This window comes from Homo sapiens, chromosome 15 (genome assembly GCF_000001405.40).
Source record: "Homo sapiens chromosome 15, GRCh38.p14 Primary Assembly".
NCBI classification, from domain to species: domain Eukaryota; kingdom Metazoa; phylum Chordata; class Mammalia; order Primates; family Hominidae; genus Homo; species Homo sapiens.
Window position 1 is genome coordinate 100121837 of NC_000015.10, and position 22019 is coordinate 100143855.

At 47.2% G+C, this 22019-nt stretch overlaps 1 protein-coding gene across 18 annotated transcripts in view, besides 3 other annotated features; it reads right to left on the bottom strand.

Annotated features, from left to right (window-relative positions):
- ADAMTS17 (ADAM metallopeptidase with thrombospondin type 1 motif 17) overlaps positions 1-22019 on the bottom strand; it is a 370539-nt gene that overhangs the window by 150400 nt on the left and 198120 nt on the right. For 16 of the 18 annotated variants that reach the window (XR_001751118.2, XR_001751120.2, XR_001751119.2 and 13 more), the window contains 2 exons: positions 11378-11479; positions 10171-10316 (listed from right to left, as the gene is read on the bottom strand). The exons of 1 other annotated variant lie outside the window; for it this stretch is intronic. Coding sequence is in view for 14 of the 17 variants with exons in the window: in NM_139057.4 (NP_620688.2) it covers positions 10171-10316; positions 11378-11479 (248 nt within the window). In the remaining 3 variants the exon portion in view is untranslated. Of the gene's footprint in view, positions 1-10170; positions 10317-11377; positions 11480-12590; positions 12747-22019 lie in introns of those variants that run through there. One more of the 18 variants, XM_017021982.2, reaches the window with a different exon arrangement.
- Positions 1428-2627: an enhancer, noted in NCBI's record as "P300/CBP strongly-dependent group 1 enhancer chr15:100663469-100664668 (GRCh37/hg19 assembly coordinates)". NCBI's record gives its function as "activates an origin of replication core promoter dependent on BRD2, BRD4, P300/CBP, MED14 and CDK7 cofactors, with strong dependence on P300/CBP, by STARR-seq in HCT116 cells {active_cell/tissue: HCT116}" and the evidence as "EXISTENCE:reporter gene assay evidence [ECO:0000049][PMID:35650434]".
- Positions 10028-10117: an enhancer, noted in NCBI's record as "active region_10165". NCBI's record gives its function as "activates an Ori minimal core promoter by ATAC-STARR-seq in GM12878 lymphoblastoid cells {active_cell/tissue: GM12878}" and the evidence as "EXISTENCE:reporter gene assay evidence [ECO:0000049][PMID:35858748]".
- Positions 10158-10227: an enhancer, noted in NCBI's record as "active region_10166". NCBI's record gives its function as "activates an Ori minimal core promoter by ATAC-STARR-seq in GM12878 lymphoblastoid cells {active_cell/tissue: GM12878}" and the evidence as "EXISTENCE:reporter gene assay evidence [ECO:0000049][PMID:35858748]".

A 22019-nucleotide genomic window follows, 5' to 3' on the forward strand; every position in this document is an offset into this window, starting at 1 on the left:
CAGCATTCTCCTGTACTCCAGTGGGTAGCTTCCAAGCACACCAACTTTTTGGATAGATTCCTATCCTGGTTGGAGATGCAGTTTCTTCCCTTGGAACCTTTCCCTGACATCTTAAGTGTGGCTTCCCAGAGAGTTCCACCAGTACAGAACCTCTACAAGCCTCTCCCTCATTCAGTGGGCCCCAGTTGCACCCTCTCTAACAAGGTCCAAGGAATTTCATCCCTGGACAAAACTGTGGTAGCAGCTACTGTCTGTCCTTCACAGTAGCTGTGTGTGAGTCACTGTCATCAAGATTTGTTCCTTCCTTGGGTGCTCTGCCTCAGACCTAAAGACACAGGATGCTACCTGCTTCTGCTCTTCCTGTATTCTTTAGAGTTCTCTTTACCTCTTAGTAAGTTCCCATTACTCCAACCACCTGTTATAGCTAATATTTCCTTGAACTTTCCCTGATTTAAAAATATGACCACAGGAACTGATTTTCTTCAGTTTTAAGTCATTATTTTGAACGACATGAGAAAGGAGAGAAGTAATCCACTAGGTACACAATTTGCTACCTAAATAATCCCCAATTGCTATGCGGCAGGACCCCACATGTGGTCCTTCATTTTTTATGACTGTCTCTATAACACAGGGCCTCTACAGTAACATCAATGCGGGCCTCCTGCATGTGCAGCTGACCTCTGAACAATGTGGGGGTTAGAAATGCTGACCCCTCACATGTAGTAGAAAATCCACATATAACTTTTAACACCCCCAAAATTAACTATTAATAGCCTATTATCAAATGGAAGTCTTGCTGATCACATAATTAACATGTTTTGTAGGTTATATGTGTTTTATACTATATTCTTATAGTAAAGTCAGCTAGAGAAAAGGTTATTAAGAAAATCATAAGGAAGAGAAAATATATTTCCTACTCATTAAGTGGAAGTGGATCATCATAAAGGCCTTCCTCCTCATCATCTTCACATTGAGTTGGCTGAGAAAGAGGAGGAGTTGGTCTTGCTGTCTCAGGAGCAGCAGAGACAGAAAAAAACCCATGTATAAGTGGACCTGCACAGTTCAAACCCATGTTGTTCAAGAGTCAACTGTACCTTGGTCCTGAGACAACAGAAAGAGGCATCCTCCATCTGCGGCATAGAGAAGACAGAAGGAGAATCCTTGTGGGGGAGGGTGTGGCTGGCAGTTTCCACAGATGGCTACCTGACAGAAGTTCTGGGGGAGGACTCAAAGGAGGCCCCAACTTTCCCAAGGACCCCACACTGGGCTGGGTGGATGAAGCCTGAACTGTGTGGACACGGGGCTTCAGGAGACAGTGTGCGGGGCCAGCGAGTGCAGCAGGGACCAGATCCCCAAAAGCAACCGGAGAGACCACCCTCACACAGTCTCAGTAGTAGAGGGCAGGGCTCTTACTCACTCTGGAAGTTGCTCTGAGCTACGCAGTAAGGAGAAAAACAAAACACATCTAGGGAGACTAAAACGACAGAAAGACAGCTTGACAGGGCTAAAATAAAGAACAGTTAATATAAGAGATTCGTGATAGAGTTATCCCTTCCCAGGAGCTGAAGGTGGGTCCAGTCTTTCCCTCACCCTCTCCTGTGAGGGCAGGAAGGCGCAGCCCTACTGGGCTCCAAGGCTCCGAGGTCCCATGAGGCCTCCAGGGGAAAGCCAACAAGTTGCAATCTCATCCTGAAATGAGGACTGATCCCTGAGGACCGGGAAGAAACTTCAAGGCAAGAGGCACTTTCACATAAACAGTGATCATAAAACAGCCGACACGCCCAGAGGGCTCCCATTTTGCTGGCCCTTCTAACCATTACTTCATTAAATCCACATGCAGAATCAGAAGGTGCTCCTGACTGCACCCTTTGGGTGAGGAAATCAACGCTCCAACAGGTGACATAACCGCTTGGCTGACGAGCAAGAGGTGGAGAGAAGAAATGTAGCGTGCAAGAGCTCCTGGACCCAGCAGGAACAGGCGCCCTGCCCCTGCCTCTGCCTCTGGGAGGGGCTGCCCATCAGCCACCACGAGGCCTGAAGGACAGCCTGACTCACTGACCAGTCATCGGGGTGTGATGGGTTTTTTAATTTGAATTTTTACTATCAATCGTTTCTAGTTTTTCTGTTCTAGGACTTTTTTTTTTTTGGACAGAGTCTTGCTCTGTCATCCAGGCTGGAGTGCAGTGGTAAGATCTCGGCTCACTATAACCTCTGCCTCCTGGGTTCAGGTGATTCTTGTGGGTCAGCCTCCTGAGTAGCTAAGATTACAGGTGTGCGCCACCATGCCCGGCTAATTTTTTTGTATTTTTAGTAGAGATGGGGTCTCATCATGCTGGCCAGGCTAGTCATGAACTCCTGGCCTCAGGTGATCCATCCGCCTTGGCCTCCCAAAGCGCTGGGATTATAGGCATGAGCCACTCTGCCAGGCCTGTTCTAGGACTCCTAAACGTGAATAAAATAGAAGCTTAGATACAAAACCAAACGGCTTGCATGGCTACTTCACAAGAAAAGGATATCCAAATGGCAAATAAGGAAACAGAAGTTCGGCCTCACTGTTGATGAGGAAAGTACCAATTCCCCAGCCAGATACTGCTACACACGCATCCGAACGGCCAAAACCAGAGAGAATTACTGACAACACCGGTGTCAGTGAGGACATGGGGCAAGTAGAAAGCCACCCCAGCCACGGCAATGGAGATGGCACGGCCATTCTGCAAAGCTGGCAGCTGTTATGTGGTCACACATGCGCGCCCCAGGGGCCAGCAACTGCCCTCCTACTGTACTGACATATACCTGCACGTGCGCCCCAACACACATGCTCGACCGTGATGAGCAATACTGTGCACGGAGCTGTGCTTCTTTGTATATTCTACCTTCATAAGTTTGTTTAAAAATAAGCAAAAGAGTAAGGTAGAGAGGCTTTGGTGAGAAACCGAAAGCGTGGAGAGAAAGGTGAGCTCTACCCCAAAATTTCCCAAGCGCCTGCAGAACAAGGACCGTCTCCTGCTGAAGTGGAGTCCTCAGGGCCTTGATAGACACAAGCCCAGAGCAGAGAAGCAGCAAAGGTTTGCTGAGACCAACAGGATCATATGGCAGAACATCTGCCCCTTTCTTTGAGAGTGGATGGACAGGTAGAATCAAGAGAGGCTGGAAGAGAAAGATGCCACTTTTTATTTTCAGGTTTGCTGTATTAAATGAAGACAGACCAGAAGATAAAGTCACAACAGCAGTTCGGACCAGCTTCACCATCCAGAGACACAGGACGCTCAGTACAAACCTGGCAGTTCTGGTCCCTGCCCTGGCGGCCCCTGGCTCTGTGAGCTCTGAGAAGAGAGCAGGGCAAAGCCATAGGGTTTCAGAAGTGCTGCGAGCTGCTAACGCACCCTCAGGGCAGCAGACATCCCAGGTTTAAGGCCTCCTCTGAAAGGTGTCCAAGTAACACATGTAACTTATGCTTCAGTGTAGAATACTTAAATTTTTAAAAATTATCCATATGAATGCCAGATCGCTGGCACATGGAAAGCACATAGATGGGGTTTCACTGTGGAAGCAAAAACCAGTTACAGGCACATAACCTTACACCAGCCGTCCTCCCGCCGTCTTAGCAGGCTAGCCGCCTTCCTCTCCCTTTCTGGTGCATGTGGGCGGCACCTCATGATGACCCTGCTGTGTCCCAGCTCTGCACTCCACTCTCCTGCCCCTGCTGCACCTGCTGGGATGCAGCTGGCTTTTCATACAAGTGCATCTGAGCCTTCCTCTCCCCTCCCTCCCCAGCTCTTCCCCACACACAAACTGTCGAGGGGTAACAGAAGGTAAATTAGAGATGCATTTTCTACCCTGCAGTCTTCTGACGTAACTCCCACCAACAGCAACATAAATTATAGCAGGAAAGGACGGGCCTAGGGAGTCGCTTTGGAAACACCGATGGTCCCTAAGGCCTCCACGTCAGCTAGCAAAAAATAAAAATTCCAAGAGCTGTGAAGACCAAGACTAAAAAAAATAATTGTGTGTGGGGGGACTCTCTTGCCAGTATTTTTGGACAGTGAATAAACCAGCTGCAGAAGACAGGGAGCAGAGCCAGGAATATAAAGTGAAGGGGGTGAGAAGGGGGTCGTGGGAGCGTTCCAAGCCTGAGACCTACATAGCAGTGAATTTGGGACAACCTTGTGAAATCTCTAGGCAGCAGGCCTGGTGATTTAAGGAGTGAGACGGGGAGAGGACGTTGTTTTCGTCAGAGCTTGGCTCTGAGGCCCTGGTCAGCTGCGCTTTGTAACCATCACTACCATCAGGGCATCCTGCAGAAGCAGGCTGGAGGCTGCAGCCTGGACTTCATAAAACACGCCACATCCTGCGTCTCTTTGGGAAGCCCCGGAGATGGCTGGTAATCCACCCACCCAAGGCCTGTCCCGCCTCTTCCCATTCACCTGGGCTGGATCCATGGAGGCAAGAAACTCCATAGAAAACTACATGGGAAAAAGGAGCATGTTGTTTTCATTCACAACAGAAAACAGAGCTACGGTGCCACTGCGAAAGATCGAAGAGACTACCAAGGTGTAAATATTATAGGAGCAAAAAGGTATCACTTCTCTTACTGGGGAAAAACAAGGCTGGGTTCTGTGTTGAAGCTTGTTCTCAAGGTGATGCCGAGCACTCCAGACTGAGATGCCACCTTGCTGGAGAAGGGCAGGCACAACAGGTGACAGATAGGCCTCATGTGGCCGTTTATAGCATCTGGGCCTCAGTGAGGGGAGATGATACAAGGGCATGAGGTCTACCTGGTGGTCTGCCACTTTTGGCCTAATCGTTTATGATCAGCTTTGTGTTTCAGTGAAAAAATGATATTAGGGATGTGTTTTGGAGGCACTGGTATTGCAGAGAGATTGGTTTTCTGGGGCAAGTGCACATCCAGGCAGGAAGGCAGTCAGCACATTTTATGGAGTGGCCGCTCTGCTGTGGGCACGGAAGGCAGCATGGTGTCCAAACAGGTGTGGCCTGTCCCGGGCCTGCACAGAGCTCTCAGCTCAAAGGCCAGTGGGGAGGACACAGTCAAAACAAGTGAGCAAATACATAACAACAATATCAGCTGTTGTAACACGTGTAACGTAAGGAAGAGGTGCCGAGGGAGACTTAAGCAGCACCCCATTTGAAGCAGGCTGTCAGGGGCAGAGATCTCTTGAGAAGACATTTACACTAACACCCAAAGAAAGGAAAAGGGTAAGTTAAGGAAAGGGAAGACAGCACTGGGGAGGGTCCTGGGGTTAGAATGCTGTGGCCGAGAGCACAAAGGAGGCTTCGAGGCTGCAGGGGGCTGAACGGTGGGTCCCCTCGGCCTCAAAAGATAGTCCACTCGGAACCTGCAAATGAGACCTTATTTGGCAAAAGGGCCTTGGCAGATGTAATTAAGCTAAGGATCTGGAGATGAGACCATCCTGGATTTGGGTGGGCCCTAAATCCAATGACAAGCGTTCTTCCAAGGGAAGAAAAGGTGAGAGGACACACAGAGAAGAGACCACGTGAAGTCAGAGGCAGAGATGGAGGTGATGCACCTCCAAGCCAGGGGAGGCCAAGGGTTGCCGGGAGCCACGAAACGGATTCACCTTTGGAGTTTCAAGAAGGAAGCACTGTGCTGACACCTTGATTTTGGACTTCTGGTTTCTAGAACTGGGCTCCAAACGTGGCCTGCCGCTGCCTCGTGTGTGACGTTGGGCAAGTTACCAAACTTCAATGTGATTCTATTTTTTGTTTGTTTGTTTGTTTTGTTTTGAGATGGAGTCCCACTCTGTCACTCAGGCTGGAGTGCAGTGGTGTGATCGCAGCTCACTGCAAACTGCACCTCCCGGGTACAAGCGATTCTCCCGCCTCAGCCTCCCAAGTAGCTGGGATTACAGGCATGTGCCACCGCACCTGGCTAATTTTCGTACTTTTAGTAGAGACAGGGTTTCACCATGTTGGCCAGGCTGGTCTTGAACTCCTGACCTCAGGTGATCCACCTGCCTCAGAATCCCAAAGTGCTGGAATTACAGGCATCAGCCACTGGGCTCGGCCCCCTGATAAAGTTTTTTTTTTTTTCTGTACAATGAAGATAAAAATAATACCTCTCCCATGGGGCTGCATTCAATAATTTCCTACATAAATGCCTAAGGGAACCCAGTGCGTGGTGCAGGTCTGCTGCATTCACCACCCTCCTCATGACCAGACATGGAGGAGGCAGAAAGGATATAAGAGGAAACTGCATGGACTCAGTGGCTTTGGACTCAAGCAATGCAAGGATGGTGGTGCTATTTACTGAGAGGGGAGATGTGGGCTAGGAGTAGAGGTCCCAGTTTAGAAAGGGTCCTGTTTGAAGTGTCTGTGAGAGAACAAAGGGGAGCTGGTGGGACTGCATCCCTTGTGGGTAGGCAGGGATTTTATCTGTGTTTGCTTCTCACTGCAGGCCCACAGCTAGCAGAGTTCAGGCCCTGGCAAGGTTTACTGAAGGCTTCATGTTGGAAAGGCTTCATCAGGAAGGGGCCTGCGGCTGGGAGGAGTGGGAATGCTGCAGGCTCTTTCTGTTCCTTCTGCCATCGCCCTGCCCCACAGGACGATGCTGCTGGACAACAGAGATTGGACGTGAAGATGCATCAATGACTAACAATCCGACGTGCTGAGACCCACAAACCCTCAGCTGTCTGTGTACCGAGGCCCTGCAAATTCTCCCATTCCTCAATGATAAAATACAGGAAAAAGCAAGGGAGAGAACAGCCACGACTATCATGGCGAGGGAGAGGGAGGACCTGATGAAGAAGAAGAGTGAAAGATTTTCACAACTTTGTGATTTACAGAACAGCCTCTCTCCTGGGGCCATGGGACCTGGGGGAATGGGGTGAGAATCCCAATATAAGAAACCCCATGGCAGGCCAGGCCAGCGAGAGTACGAGAGTACACTAATGCCGCTGTCTGAACTGGGTGGTGTTTAGGATCCCCCCAGAGCAAAATGCCCCTGTGGTATCCCAGAGCAACCATGGGTGGGCAGGGCAGGAAGCAGTTCAGATGGTGACAGGGTTCCTGCCAAGACATGAAGGCAAAAAGCTCTGGAAAGCCTTGTCTTTGGGCTACCAATGCCAGGGAAGCCCTAGCTAATGTCATCCCGAGAAGGCAGACAACACCAGTTCCCTTCAAAGAGGCACCTATGGCATTTGCATAGCGTTGATAACGTCTTATTCTTGCAAATGTTGCCCTCGCCTAGAGACAACTTAAATGTTGACAGTCTCAGGACACTGGCTCCTTCAGACATTCAGAGGTTCTGATATCCTCCTGCTATGATGTTTACTGGGTGTCACCTGTTATGAGATAAGACACGTAACGTGCCAAGAAGACCAGTCTTCCACTAGGACCCACAAACTCCAATCACAAACGTGGAGCACCCATGACAACCACAATCCCTGCCAATTTCTCTCTGCACTTAACAAAGCCTTAGACAGGGAAGGGCAACTGGTACCATCCTCGTTCTTCTGTGAGTGCTAATAACAAGAGGGGCTGCTTATTAAATACACACCAAGGACTTTCTGTGCATTCCCATGAATTCTTCCAAGTTTCAGATGAAAAGACAAGTACCAGCCGTCGGCGCTATAAGAAGTCATGCTGGCAGCCAGGCACAGTGGCTCACACCTGTAATCCCAGCACTTTGGGAGGACAAGGTGGGCAGATCACCTCAGGTCAGGAGTTTGAGACCAGCCTGACCAACATGGAGAAACCCCATCTCTACTAAAATTACAAAATTAGCCGAGTGTGGTGGTGCATGGCTATAATCCCAGCTACTCGGGAGGCTGAGGCAGGAGAATCGCTTGAACCTGGGAGGTGGAGGCTGTGATGAGCCGAGATCGCGCCATTGCACTACAGCCTGGGCAACAAGAGCGAAACTCCGTCTCAAAAAAAAAAAAAAGTTGTCATGCTGGGATTTGAAGATTTGTCTGTCCTGGCTTTGAAGCCTGGCTCTTCCCACTCTACCATGTCCGCTCCCTCTAGTGGGCAGAACTAAGGCCAGGGAACAGAAGAGTCGTGAGGTCACATGACCATTAACCAACAGGGTCAGGCCCAATGCCATGACTCCAAACCCAGCCCTTTCTTCACGAGGCCAGAGGTCAAACTATTAACGTCAACACAGAGTAATGCAAAAACTGCAACCACCTATTAATTTCCCACCATTTAGCTAAACAGGGTTTCTAATCATCTACCCACCTATGCCCTTAATTAAGAAGTCATTCCTGGATTGGGCATGGTGGCTCACACCTGTAATCCCAGCATTTTGGGAGGCAGAGGTGAGCAGATCACATGAGGTCAGGAGTTCAAGACCAGCCTGGCAACATGGCGAAACCCCATCTCTACTAAAAATACAAAAAGTAGCTGGGAGTTGTGGTGCACTCCTGTAATCCCAGCTACTTGCGAGGCTGAGGCAGGAGAATCACTTGAAGCAGGGAGGCGGAGGTTGCAGTGAGCCGAGACTGGGCCACCGCACTCCAGCCTGGGGGACAGAGTGAGGCTCCATCTCAAAAAAAAAAAAAAAAAGTCATTCCTAACAGACTAAACACCTATGTGCCCCGCACTCTGCTGGGTGCTAGAGGGAAATGTTTTAATAAGACATAATTAATACATAATGCCAATTCTTATAGCATTGCTGGGAAAATGGTGCTCCTGTCACTGACCAGACTAGGAGCATAACCCTTCCTTTAATCCAGAGGTTCCAACATTGACTGCTGCTGGAGTCACCTGGGAAGATAAAATATCCAATTCCTGGGCCCCACCCTTAGTGTTCTGTGATTTGATCAGTCTGGGGTATGACCTGGGCATCAGGATTTTTAAACATAAGAGGCATTTGCTAATTATCCATCAACAGGACTTAATTGTGGAGATTTCTTTATAGTCACTATTTAGAACTTGCTCGTTTTCAAAATTGATGTGCTGCAACTGCTGACACACAAGGCATAAAACAGATCATTAAAAGAAATGGTAAGAAATGGGAAGCTTCATTTGACCCAGCAATCCCATTACTGAGTATATACCCAAGGATTATAAATCATTCTACCATAAAGACACACGCAGCCATATGTTTATTGTGGCACTATTCACAATAGCAAAGACTTGGAACCAACCCAAATGCCCATCAATGATAGACTGGATAAAGAAAATGTGGCACATATACACCATGGAATACTACGCAGCCATAAAAAAAGGATGGGTTCATGTCCTTTGCAGGGACATGGATGAAGCTGAAAAACATCATTCTCAGCAAACTAACACAGGAACAGAAAACCAAACACTGTATGTTCTCACTCAGAAATGGGAGCTGAACAATGAGAACACAGGGACACAGAGAGGGAAACATCACACACCGGGGCCTGTCGAGGGGGTTGAGGGGCAAGGGGAGGGACAGCATTAGGAGAAATACCTAATGTAGGTGACGAGTTGATGGGTGCAGCAAACCACCATGGCACGTGTATACCTATGGAACAAACCTGCACATTCTGCACATGTACCCCAGAACTTAAAGTATGAAAAAAAAAAAAAAAAGAAATGGGAAACTTCAAGAAGAAAAGGGAAAAATCTGGTGATGGAATTATCACCATCAAGCCCAAAATCGATCCCTGAGTTTCGTGGAACAAATGTACAAAGGTGAACAGGAAAGGTCATGGTGTCATTAGAGTCAATAAAAAGAAGCCAAAGAGAAAAAAACTAAATCACATTTTTTCTAACAGTTACAGGAGGACCCATGGCAAATATTAGGATGAGGAAGACAGCTGCACCCAGACACTCTGTGACTCATGAACCACCAGGCTGCTCCCACATCAGAGACAGCCAGTGTGGAATGACCCTGGACTTGCTAAACCACGGGCAGGCTGGAGGGACTGTCATACAGCTGTCTCCGAAAACCTTTCCACTGAGGCCCAGGGAAGGAATGAGGGAGTCAGCTCACCCCAGACTCTACTGTATCCATGTTCACAGAAAGAGCAATTTAAGCTGAGATGTCATTTGACACACACGAGGTCCCTGCACCCTGGACCTTGGCTGGGTTTCATTTTCCATATCTTCTAATGCTCAGCGGGAGACAGACCCTGCTTTGTGTGAGGCAGCGAGAGCTGCTGTTGGGAAACTCCAATCGTGGCACGTTGGGGTATGGCTGGTCAGGGGACTTACGGGGGGTTGTCACATTTCCTCTGCCTGAAGCGGGCTCCCGTCCCACATGTTCGGCTGCACATGCTCCAGGCGCCCCACGGGCTCCAGTCTCCGTCCACATGCTCCGGGATGGGCGTCTTGCTCACGCACTCCCCCGCGCGGCACCACTGAAACACAGCGGGGAGGGTCGGGGCCCAGGCACTCAGCAGAGCTGCTCACTCCAGCCCGCCAGGCCCCAAAATGCCGTGCTGCCAAAAACCCATTTGCTAAATTTACATAAAGGTACAGTCTATTTCAGGGTTTGCACGTTTGCTAATTTTAGAGACATGCCTTACTTACTCAAACTGACACTCATATCGCTGTAGGGTTTGGATTTTGCCCTCAACTTTCAGATGGATGTGCTCCATGGGGATTTTCTAAATCCCAGAAAAAGGATGAATCTACGTAGCTCTTGAAGAGACCTGGGCTTCTGCAAACTTTGTTTGACGTGAGTGCGTTTCTCGCTGGGAGGCGGCATGCCCCGGTTGAGGTTGTGAACCTGAGAGTTGTGTTTGCTGCTTGGCGATGGCACAGCCAGCTCCACGTGAGGGAACCTTGGTTCTTTCTGAGGATAACTCAAGGCCAGCCCTATAAAACAATTTCTCAAAGTGCACAGCACATACCCTGAGGTGCTAGGTGTGATTTCTGTGGTTCCCAATCACGGCATCAGAGCAAACCTTTACTCCTTTTTCAACTCTTTCAATTCTTGCAATAAGACTGGAGAGAGGTCCTGGGGCTGCAGATCCCGAACACCCCTTCTCTCCAACACCTCCCCATCTCTCCTGCACATGAGGAACAAGCTCATTCTCTCAACATTTAGCTAGAATTGGATAATACTGTTCTCACTGAATTATTTTTACGAGAGCCTACTGTGTATGGCAGGTGATGTTGTTTTTCCATTTGAAATATACTGGTGAAAGTGTTCCTTTTAAGTAAATTTCCTTACATGATGAAAGGAGTTAATCTAACAAAAATATTAAGTAAATGATACTTGTATCTTATAAGAAAAAGGAATGAGGTGATGTAGGCACCACTCTGTGCCCGGAGTGGCCTCCATGGGCATTTCTGTGCCGCCTGGGGGATGTTTCAGGGGCTCCTAAGTAGAGTACAGATTGTGTGTCAGAAGAGGTGCCAGTTGCCTGCAAGATGTGGAGCTGCCTGTTGGGGGCAGTGGGAAGTCAGAGGTTACCTTGTCTGCCCCACACTCGGTGCCATCCAGGGGAGGGTCCAGCTTGGTCTTGCAGGATGTGTCTCCTTCTACCAGGCACCACAGTCCAGCACACATTAGATGCTGCAGGACAAGGGAAGGAACCATAATTGTGGAGAACACCCACACTCACAGGTCACAGCTGGGGTCAGAGGTGTGGCCCAACCACTGTTTCAAATTTGGGATTCGAAACGTATGGGGAAGCCAGAGGGTCATAAGTCTGTATGTCCAAAATATCAGTGCATCACTTGAACTGGCTCATTTAGCTCAACAAAATTCTGTGCATCTACTCCTAGGAGGGCTTGTCTCACGGAGTTGAGTTCAACAGCTCCAACAACCACCGAGGGCCTAGGAGATATCAGAGGCACAGCCCTGGCCAGGAGCAGCAGCCCCTGCCTCCCAGGAGTGATGAGCAAACAGACATCTTCCATTTACAGCAGTGAGGGGCTGTCTAGGGGACACAGAAAGAGGATCTAACCAAACCTCATCAGGGAGGGCTTGCTGGAAGAGGCAACTCTGAAGTCAAGGCCAGATGGGTAGGCAACCACTGTGAGGCCAAGAAATGACAGCCCAAAGGGCCATGAAGGACTGGTACCCCGACAGGGTTACAGGGGCAACCTTCTGTTCTCCCTGCGGTCACCTGTTTCTAGCTCAGCTGAGCTGTGCACAATTTTTTATAGCATTTTACCTACAGAACTTCCAGAACATCTACAAATACACAATTAAAATAATTCCACTAAAACAGGAATTGGCATTTAAACACACAGACTCCCAACTGTATCATTAGGAAATCTGGGCATCGACAAAGTGCTCAGAAGGAGACAATTTATCAAAATCATGAAAGCAGACACAGCCAGTGTCCTCTCTGAAGGAACCACATGCAGACAGTGACCTCAACCATAAGAGACAGGAGCTGGTAACTCCCCACCCGCCCAGGGGACAGGGAGATGATACTGAGGCAAGTTCCACACGCCTCTCAGAGGGTCCTGGGGGGGATGGCCCCGCTGCCGACAGCAGTCACTTACTCAGGATTGCACCTTTCTTGACTGCTCTCTCCCTCACCCCCTCACAGTGCTTCCTGGGATCACTTCCCAGATAAACTACTTGCACCCAAATCCTGGCCTCACAGTCTGAAAATTGAGAACAGATGTACTTAAAGATCTTGTGAAGACGCAGTGATTCCAGGATGACAAACCCAATCATGGCTAAAAGGCCCAAGTTGGAGCAGGAAGACATCACCCTCCAGGGTGTGGCCAGGGACCTGCTGCTTCACACTGAGCAGGATGAAGGTCAAGGAGCTCCTGTAGCTGGTGCAGGGTGGTCACCGTGTGGTTTGCAAAGGGTGTCGAGTTCAGTTTAGAGGTCTGCTCTTCCAAGTAATCTCAAACATCTGCATAGAAGAGACGCACAACTGTGCTGTCTAAAATCAAACAGTTTTTAGAAGTTGAAGGGATAAAAATAAGAGAAAGGGAAGGAAGGCAGAGCTGGAGGGAGCTTTTAAAGAGAGCTAAGAAAAGCCCACAGCTCCTTCTCATTTTTCACGTATGTCGGAGCTGATCTGTGCCCTTTAGGAAGTGGATGGCTCAAGTGGAATACTGCACATGCGCTTCAGAAAAGCCTGCATGTTCCCATGATTGTTCACCCCTCAAAGGAATGGTAAAAAGATGAGAGCCCCAGTGCAGCACAGCTGGTCCTATAAAGACCAACTGCACCTCATCAAACATTTGATTCCATGCACTCTGACCTGCGAGCTCTTTGAGACTGTGGTGTCTGTGTGTGGACATGTGCTCACAAGACAAGGCTGACCCAGGGGGAGAATTTATGGGACAGGAGCGGTTGGGATTAGGAGAAATGACCACTCCATCAGGAGAAAGAGGAAGAAGGTGGTGTCAACTGTTCGTTATGGATTTTATAGACAGGGCTTTCTCATGAAACTTTTCTAACCATCAAAGAAAAGAAGAATGAGGTTAGACAAAGATTTCTTAAACAGAACACAAAAAGGACTAATGATAAAGTAAGAAAACTAATGAATTACACCATATTAAAATTAACAACTTTTTTTTTTTTTTTGAGACAGAGTCTCGCTCTGTCGCCCAGGCTGGAGTGCAGTAGCGTGATCTCGGCTCACTGCAAGCTCCGCCTCCCAGGTTCACGCCATTCTCCTGCCTCAGCCTTCCGAGTAGCTGGGACCACAGGCGCCCGCCACCACACCCGGCTAATTTTTTGTATTTTTAGTAGAGACGGGGTTTCAGCGTGTTAGCCAGGATGGTCTCAATCTCCTGACCTCGTGATCCACCCGTCTCAGTCTCCCAAAGTGCTGGGATTACAGGCATGAGCCACTGCGCCTGGCCAAAATTAACAACTTCTGTTTACCAAAAGGCAACTGTAAGAACACAAGAATATATTTGCAATACATAAGAGATTTGTAATGTGTATAACCAACAAAGTGTTTGTATCCAAAACATGATTTAAAACAACAAAAAACTCCTATAGATCAATTAAGAAAAAGACCCAGTAGAAAAATGGGCAAAAGTCTTGAACAGACACTTCATAAAAGAGAATGTTTAAATGGCTAGTAAACATATGAAAAGGTGCTCAACTTCTTTAGTCATCAGGGAAGGGAAATTACAACCACCATTAGATTAGATACCTTGACACAGCAGCCAGAATGGGTAGAATGAAGAAGATGGAGAGCACCGCTCATTGGGAACAATGGGGCACAATGGGTCCTTTTGGATGCTGAGAATGAGATTTTAACTTGGTTCAACAGCTTTGGAAAACTTTGGCAGTATTTGCTAAAGCTGAAGACACACACATTCTAATACCCAGCAATTCGAATCCTAAGTATATAACGCAAAAAATGTGTATGTGTTCACCAAAGACATTGTCAAGAAAGTTCACTGAAATACTACTTGCATTAGTTCCATGTTGGAAACAACCCAAATGCCCATCAAGAGCAGAACAGATGAATGCTGGTATATTAGAACAATGGAATACTGTATGATTTCATTTACATACAGTTTAACAACAATGTTGAACCACAGTGTTGGGAGTCAGGATAGTGGCTACCTTTGTCGTCAGCTTAAGAAAAAAGAAAACGGGAATGACAGCAAAGGAGAAGTTAGCACTGCAGCGTCTCATCCAAGCTTGGCCACCAGCACTGCTCTCTGCACCCAAGCCAAGTCCTCACCATTCTTGTGATACATTTTCACTACTGAACAGATGCGGTGACTACACGAATGCTTGTCATCACCTTGATGCCTTCTAGATCAACAGCCTGCATTCATGTCATGCATTGCAAATGACAAAGTGCTCAGGTTCCTGTCATCCTGAGCCTCATGGCAGCCCTGGGAGGCAGGCAGGAGGGGGCTTTCTCTATTTTTTCCACTTTTCCAAAGAGGAGGTCAATGTTTGTGAAGGTCACAGAGTCTGAGCTGGGTTAGAAGCACAAGACTCATAAAGAAGAGAACTAAAGTGATGTAAAAGAAAGGGCATTTGAATATAAATTCAAGACCCTCAACTGAAATGATGGAAGGTCTTATTCTCAGATTGCAAAGCAAAGCCCCAAGAAAAAATGGCGCAAAATAATGAGCCCAGAGGCGTGTCCTGATAAAGTCACTGGGTTTCAGAGATACACCAGAACACTCTTTGGGTAGCCAGCACAGATAATGGGAAAAGAGCTCGGGCTGTGCAGATGTCTTTGCAGCAGCCTCTCTCTACAGGCACTGGAGTGAGTGATGCTGATACAGACACAAGGAAAGGCAGAACATGTGGCCCAGGAAATTTATATCAACTAAACGTTTGCTCAAGTACTTAGGCAATGGAAAAAGATTTTTGAACTTACAAGTAGTTAAATCCTTTCTGGAGAAGTTACCACAGGACGACCCTTGGCCAACTAAGAAATGACTGAAGAACCCATAGAAAATGGGCCAGCAGTGAGCACTGATCAAAGTATTGATTGAAACCAACGTAGGAATGGGAGTTAGAGAACAGAATTCATGGGACGGAAACCCAGACAAGGCAGAAATGACAGAGAGAAGAACCGGCTGGGAAGAAGGTGCACTGGGGTGGGAGCTGTGGGAGGCTGTCTATATGTACATCAATGTCTTTATCTTTTCTAGCTGGGGAAAGAGTAAAATATAACAGATAAAATGTGAAAACTGAGATATAAGAACTTCCAAAGGTAAAATGTTAAGCACAAAGAAAAATAACAGAATTGGGTGGTGGAAGGAGTGAAAGGGTGGGGCTTGGAGGTGGAGATGCATTCATCATGCTCAGGAAGCCAGGCACCCTAAAGAGAAGGGTGACTGATGGATGAACCTTCTGCTTTCAGCGAATAGCAGACTTTGTGGCAGACAGGGCTGCTCTTCCAGTACACAACAGCTGGGTACCATAATAAAGGATAGTTCTTATAGCTGAGCTCACCCCCAAGTAAAGGAAATATTCGAGGAAGCAAATACAAAACCCATACCCAGCTGTCTTTATACATATACACTACTGTATAGCAATGTGTGATGAGCACATGCAAGGGTGGGTTCCCCAAAGGGCAGGCGTTGGTTGCCAACACCAACACCCACCCTTTCACTACCAACATCCACCCTTTCACTGCCAACACCAACACCCACCCTTTCACTACCAACACCCACCCTTTCACTGCCAACACCCACCCTTTCACTGCCAACACCAATGCCCACCCTTTCACTGCCAACACCAATGCCCGCCCTTTCATTCCTTCTACCACCCAATTGTGCTATTTTTTCTTTGTGGTTAACATTTTACCTTTGAAAGCTCTTATATCTCAGTTGGCACTGAAGTTGGGAGAAGTCATCTGGGGCTGGCCTATCTCAGATAGAACAAGGTCAGGAGATCTATCTGAGACACCCAGGTTAAACCAGGGAATCTGGAAGGGTGTTTACCAGTTCTGAAAAGGCTAGAAGCAGCCCCTTTTCAGAAAAAGGGGTTCTGGTTGAAACAAATTTAAGTTCTCCTAAAGAGAGCAATTTAGGATCTTAGAATTCCATGGTTATGTCCAATAAAGTATAAACCCATAATCAAACATGGTAATGTGAGTGATGGTCAGCAGCAACAACAAACAGAAGATTTAAACTGTCAAGGTGTTTAGGTAATAAAATTGTCAGATACAGAATTTATAGTAACTATCTATAAAGAAATAGAAGATGAGATTACATAAACAAGCTAGCAGCAAGATATTAACACTGTTGAATATAAGAAACTGGAAATAACATTTAAAAATGAAATATATAATTGTTGAAGAAAATCAATGGATTTTGACAGCCCCGAATGAGAGAATCTGTGACTAGAAAACAGACCTGAAGAAATTATCCAGAATGCAGCCTGCAGAGGAAAGGCGGTGGGGAATATAAAAGATGGGTTAAGAGATCCGAAGAACCAAGTGAGAAATACTGATGTATGTGTCTAATCAGACCCAGAAGGAGAGAATAGAAAGAGTTGGGCAGAGACAATATTTGAGAAGAAAACAGCTGGAACAGAACACATGCCATGTAGAATAAAGACATTCTCCACTTAGGGGCGGGAGGCAGTGTTCTACTATGGCCGCAATGATCTCTGTCTCTTAGGATTACACCCTCGTGTGACCCCCTCCTCTTAAACACGGGCTCAAACTACTAACTTGCCTTTTAAAAAAATTTAAAATGCTTTAATATACATTTTAAAAAACAAGAAGGACAAAAATTATCAGTGATTTCCCGGTAATAGGGGAAGAGACTAGCTTGAAGGCGCATGGGGGGTATTTTGGGCGATGGACCTGTTTTGCAAATTGATTGGTTATATAACTCTGCATTTGTCAAATTTCAAAGACTGGGCATTAAAAAGGGCGAAACAGAAAAGCCAACGAAAAATATAAGGGTTGGCTCTTTGGGGGGAAACTAGATGAACCTTTTGTTAAACAATACAAGAAAAAGGGGAGAAAAGTACAACAAAGAAGAAAAGAAAGGAGAAAATATCCAAAATGTAGAGAAATCTAAAAAAATTATCAGGGGCGACTTAGCTCAGTTTTATGTACATAAGCCTGAGATGAAATGATTTTCTAAGAATGTGTAAGTGAGCAAAGCCATCGCTCGGGAAAGACTAAAAGTGTATGTAGACTCATTGACATAAAAGACCCAGAGGATGTTTGGCAATGTCCGAAGGCATTTTTTGGTTGTCACAACCAGGGGGAGTGCCCCCGAGCTATAGGGGGCAGAGGCCAAGGATACTGCTAAAGATCTTCTATTGTACAAGACAGTGCCCTGCAACAAAGAATTATTCAGCCTAAGACACCAATAGCGCTGAGGTTGGGAAACGGCTACAGAAAAACTCAACAAAAGGAAAAACAGTAAGTTACGGTGGAGTATCCTGCCAGGTAACAGCTTAGCTAGGTGACCAAGGCTAGCATCACCAGTAACGAGACATAATGACCACATCACCTCTGTGGTATCCTTCCCAATAACGCGGAACCTCAATCTAGTCGTGAGAACACATCAGACAAACCCAAAGGCAAACTAATAGACTGGTACTCTTCAAAAGCGTCAAGGTCATGAAAGAAAAGGAAAGGCTGAGGAACTGTTATTGGAGGAGACCAGAGACATGACAACTAAACGTGAAATAGGATCCTGGTATACAGAAAGGACATTGATGGAAAAACTGGTGAAATCTAAATGTATTTTACCTAATAGTATTGTACCAAGCTTAATTTCCTGGTTTTCATTATGGTTCTACGGGCATGTAAGATTTTTTTATTTTTGTTTTTTATTTTTATTTTTGAGATCGAGCCTCACTCTGTCACCCAGGCTGGAGTGCAGTGGTGCAATCTCAGCTCACTGCAACCTCCGCCTCCTGGGTTCAAGCGATTCTCCTGCCTCAGCCTCCTAAGTAGCTGGGACTACAGGCATGCGCCACCATGCCTGGCTAATTTTTGTATTTTTGGTAGAGATGGGGTTTCACCATGTTGGCCAGGCTGGTCTCAAACCCCTAACCTCTGGTGATCCTCCTGCCTTGGCCCCCCAAAGTGCTGGGATTACAGGCATGAGCCACTGTGCCTGGCCGTGTAAGATGTTAACATAACAGGAAGTTGGCTGAAAGGCATATAGTATTTTTTGTAAGTTTTAAGAGTTACAATTGTCTTACAACAAAAAGTTAAAAAATAACACAATTTTTTAAAAATGACGGGACAACTCTACACTAGTCCTGACTAACTCCAAGACACACACACACACACAGACACACACACATACATACATATATATATATATATATATCCAGTAAAGACGTGTGGAATGTATGAATGGGATGAATACTTTCATCTGTAAACCAGTGCCTGGCAAGCTAAGCAGTCACCAAGTCCAGACATCATAGAAGTGCTTTATCAGGGTTGTCTCTTTCCTACCCACATCAACCTTGTGAGACAGACACTTCCTGTTCCCATTTTACAGATGAGGAAATGGGTGGACCTGTTCTAACCCAGAACACAGGCTCCTTCCCACTGGTTACACTACCTCTCCATCAGTCCCCAATTTCCTCTTCCCGCTTCCCCTGCAATCATGCATTCTCGGTGTGAGTGTCCATCCTCTCATCTGCAGTGAGATGGGGCGCTCTGTGCTCAGCGACATGCCGTTCCCTCCGCCTGCAGAGTTCTCCCTGGAAACACTGCTGGGCAGCACGTCCCTGGGCTTCAGCGACACGTGATGCACTAGAACAGGGTGGAAACACACAAAGGGCGGCTGCCCAGGCCAAATCAGGGGTGGGGGTACTAAGACCTCCTCTCCCACTCCCGCCCCCGGCGGCAGTGCTTGAGTTGCGGTGGAAAGTCACAGTCCGTGCACATGGCAAGGAAAATGAAACAGCTCTCTGGTTCTAGCATTTGTCACCTCACTGGCTACGCTTACGGTTTGTCAAGAGTCATCCCCAGCATGTTTTGCTGCATAGTTCCTCGAGCGGCTGCATGATGAGCCAGCAGCAAGCATGCATCCCTGGAGCGCTGTGAAAACGCGGGAAGGTTTGAGCTGCTCAGATGGCACCATTGCTCACGTACACGAGCCTTCGCCACTTTTCTTCAACTGGTGGTGTCCCTGTCAAGGACTGTGAAGGTCATGTTGCTGTTCTCTTGCCTCATCCTCTCTGGGCATCTGCTGAGGGTTTGGAGGGCGGCTCTAACTCAAAATGATACTGAATGAGATGCTTATATAAAGTCTCTCAAAAATGTGCTGCTGATAACACAAGCCAAAAGAGAGAGAAAATCAACGCTAAGAGCTGGATGAAAAAGTGACTCATCCAAATTTTCCACACATACTACTGCAGTGTGAAGTCTTCCCCGGGCCAGCATGCCAGCCCCACTCCTGGAAGGCTTCCTGAGTCCTGGGAGGGCCACTCCTTCCATGTTCCTGAGGGCTACAGAGACCGTCACCTGGCTGGGGTTGGGGGCTGCCGGGTGAGGGTGGGGCCCAGGACTTCAGCTGGCAGCAGGGACAAGAAAGACAACTCACAACTGGCATGGTGTGGAGAGCTCTCTGAAAAGGCAGTCTACTGTAAACTTTCAAACACTTCTGGAAAATTAGGACCATCTGCTGCCAAAGTCCAACGGCTCTGAGAGGCTGCAGATGCTGGGCAGGAAGCGGAGACTGAGACAGGCAGGACAGCTTTCAGCCTGGCATGCAAGTCCACGCACTACCGTACAGCCCTGAGAGGGGCAAGGCCAGGCTCCGGGACCCCGCCAGCCACCCATTCTGGCCAGGTCCACCAGCATTAAAGGGACAGACCTCATTTAGATGAGCAGTTTCCTAACTAAGCTGGATGGAAGAATCTCCAGGGAAGCTGTACGGAAAGACAGATACCTAAAACCCATCTTCCTGAAGACTTTTAAGACAGAAAATCTGGAGTAAGACACAGAAACTTCTAACAGTCTCTGGAGGACTCTAGCAATCCACCAGGTTTAAAAATAACTGGCATCAGAGGAACAAACTTTGTTGTCCCAAGGTAGAATTTTGTCACCCCAAGCATCTCTCTAGCCATCAGATGCCCATGTAAATCTGCAGGACGTGAGAAAGGAGAAAAGCCTGGAGACTGGGATTTTGCCCAGGTAGAGGTACTGGACACGGGAAAGCAATCCCTGGGGGTTCCAGGCTCCCAGAGTACCGGGAGGGATGGTGAGGACAGCACAGGGAAAGATATGGGAAGGGACAGGCCCATGTGATCTCAGCTAAACAGTGTTTCCTCCTGTCCCTCTGGCTCCAGGCGACAAGGAGGCACAGAATGGACACTACCTAACATTTATTGAGTGTGTGCTACATGCTAAGTGCTTTAATTCAGTTACTACTAACTCTCATGTCTTCACAATGATGGATAAGTAGAGTTTATATTCCCATTTTGCAGATGAGAAGACTGAGACATAGTGAGACTAGGCAACCTGTTCAAGAACAGAGGCAGAATGGGGCCCTGGGCAGCCTGACTAGAGAGTCCTTCTCAGGCACTGTGTGATCTAGAAAGCATCTCCACACTGTACCAAAAGGCAATTAACGAGAAAAGAGAAAGGAGGGAGTATTACGTAGAAACAATTGTCTAAGACCTTCCAATGCCTATAACCAGTCTAGATCCTGTCTTCCTGAAATGATTGGCTGACAGCTTTGTGCTCAATAACATTCTTAAACAGCGGCATAACATGCACACCTCGGGTCCTTGTGAATGCTATGACATACAGGCACATATATGCTCGTGGCAACTAACAAGAAGAGTGTACATCCCTTCCAAGCACTACTGTGTGGCAGCCATGCCTGGGCTTTGGAGCCACGATGGTGGAATGCATTCCTGGGAAGCAGTAGGGAAAGGGGTGGTGGTCATTAAACAGCACCTTTCAACTGAAAGCCTCCAGGACCAGGGTGGTGGTGATGGGGCAGATGAACACCTCTCTCATGTGAGAAAGCGGTGGGACTTTGTGAGGCAGGGATCTCACAGTCAGGACAGGACCCTAACTGCACCCCTTCTTGCTCCTTCTCTAGCAGCAATACACACTCTTCCTTGCAGCTGACAGCGCCTGCATTGGGCTTTCTCACCCTCTGCTTCACCTGGAAGAATATCTGAGCTTAAGTAGCTTGAAAGTGTTGTTAAATAGCAACTTTCTTTTGCAGTGACTTTGCTGACAGACAGGAGAAACTTGTAATCATAAAAAAGACTGATTGGGCTAATTGCATAAAGTTTATTTCCCCTTTCTAACAAATATTTACCATCCAATGTTTATAACTTTATGTTTGGACTTTCTTGAAATGCTTTATTGAATTAAAAACATCACATTACCATTGGCTAAAAGAGGAGACAGCTGTATTTGCCAATAACTTTTGCAACAAATGCCAGTTGTTGATGCCAATTTTTTTTCTAGTTCATATTTCCATAGACAGCTTTGAGCCTTACAATACTAGCATTCTGCAGACAGACATTCAGTGGTGATAGTGTGGGAGCCTCCAGAGTCCTAAGAATTAATATGGACTGTATTTTAATTTTTCTCAGTTCTCCGGTATGCAAATGTTTGAGAAACCAGCAACCTGGTTAATATTTGAAGCCTAGACTGCTCCTAAAGCAATTGCAGAAATGCTCTTCCAAGGTTATTTACCCACAC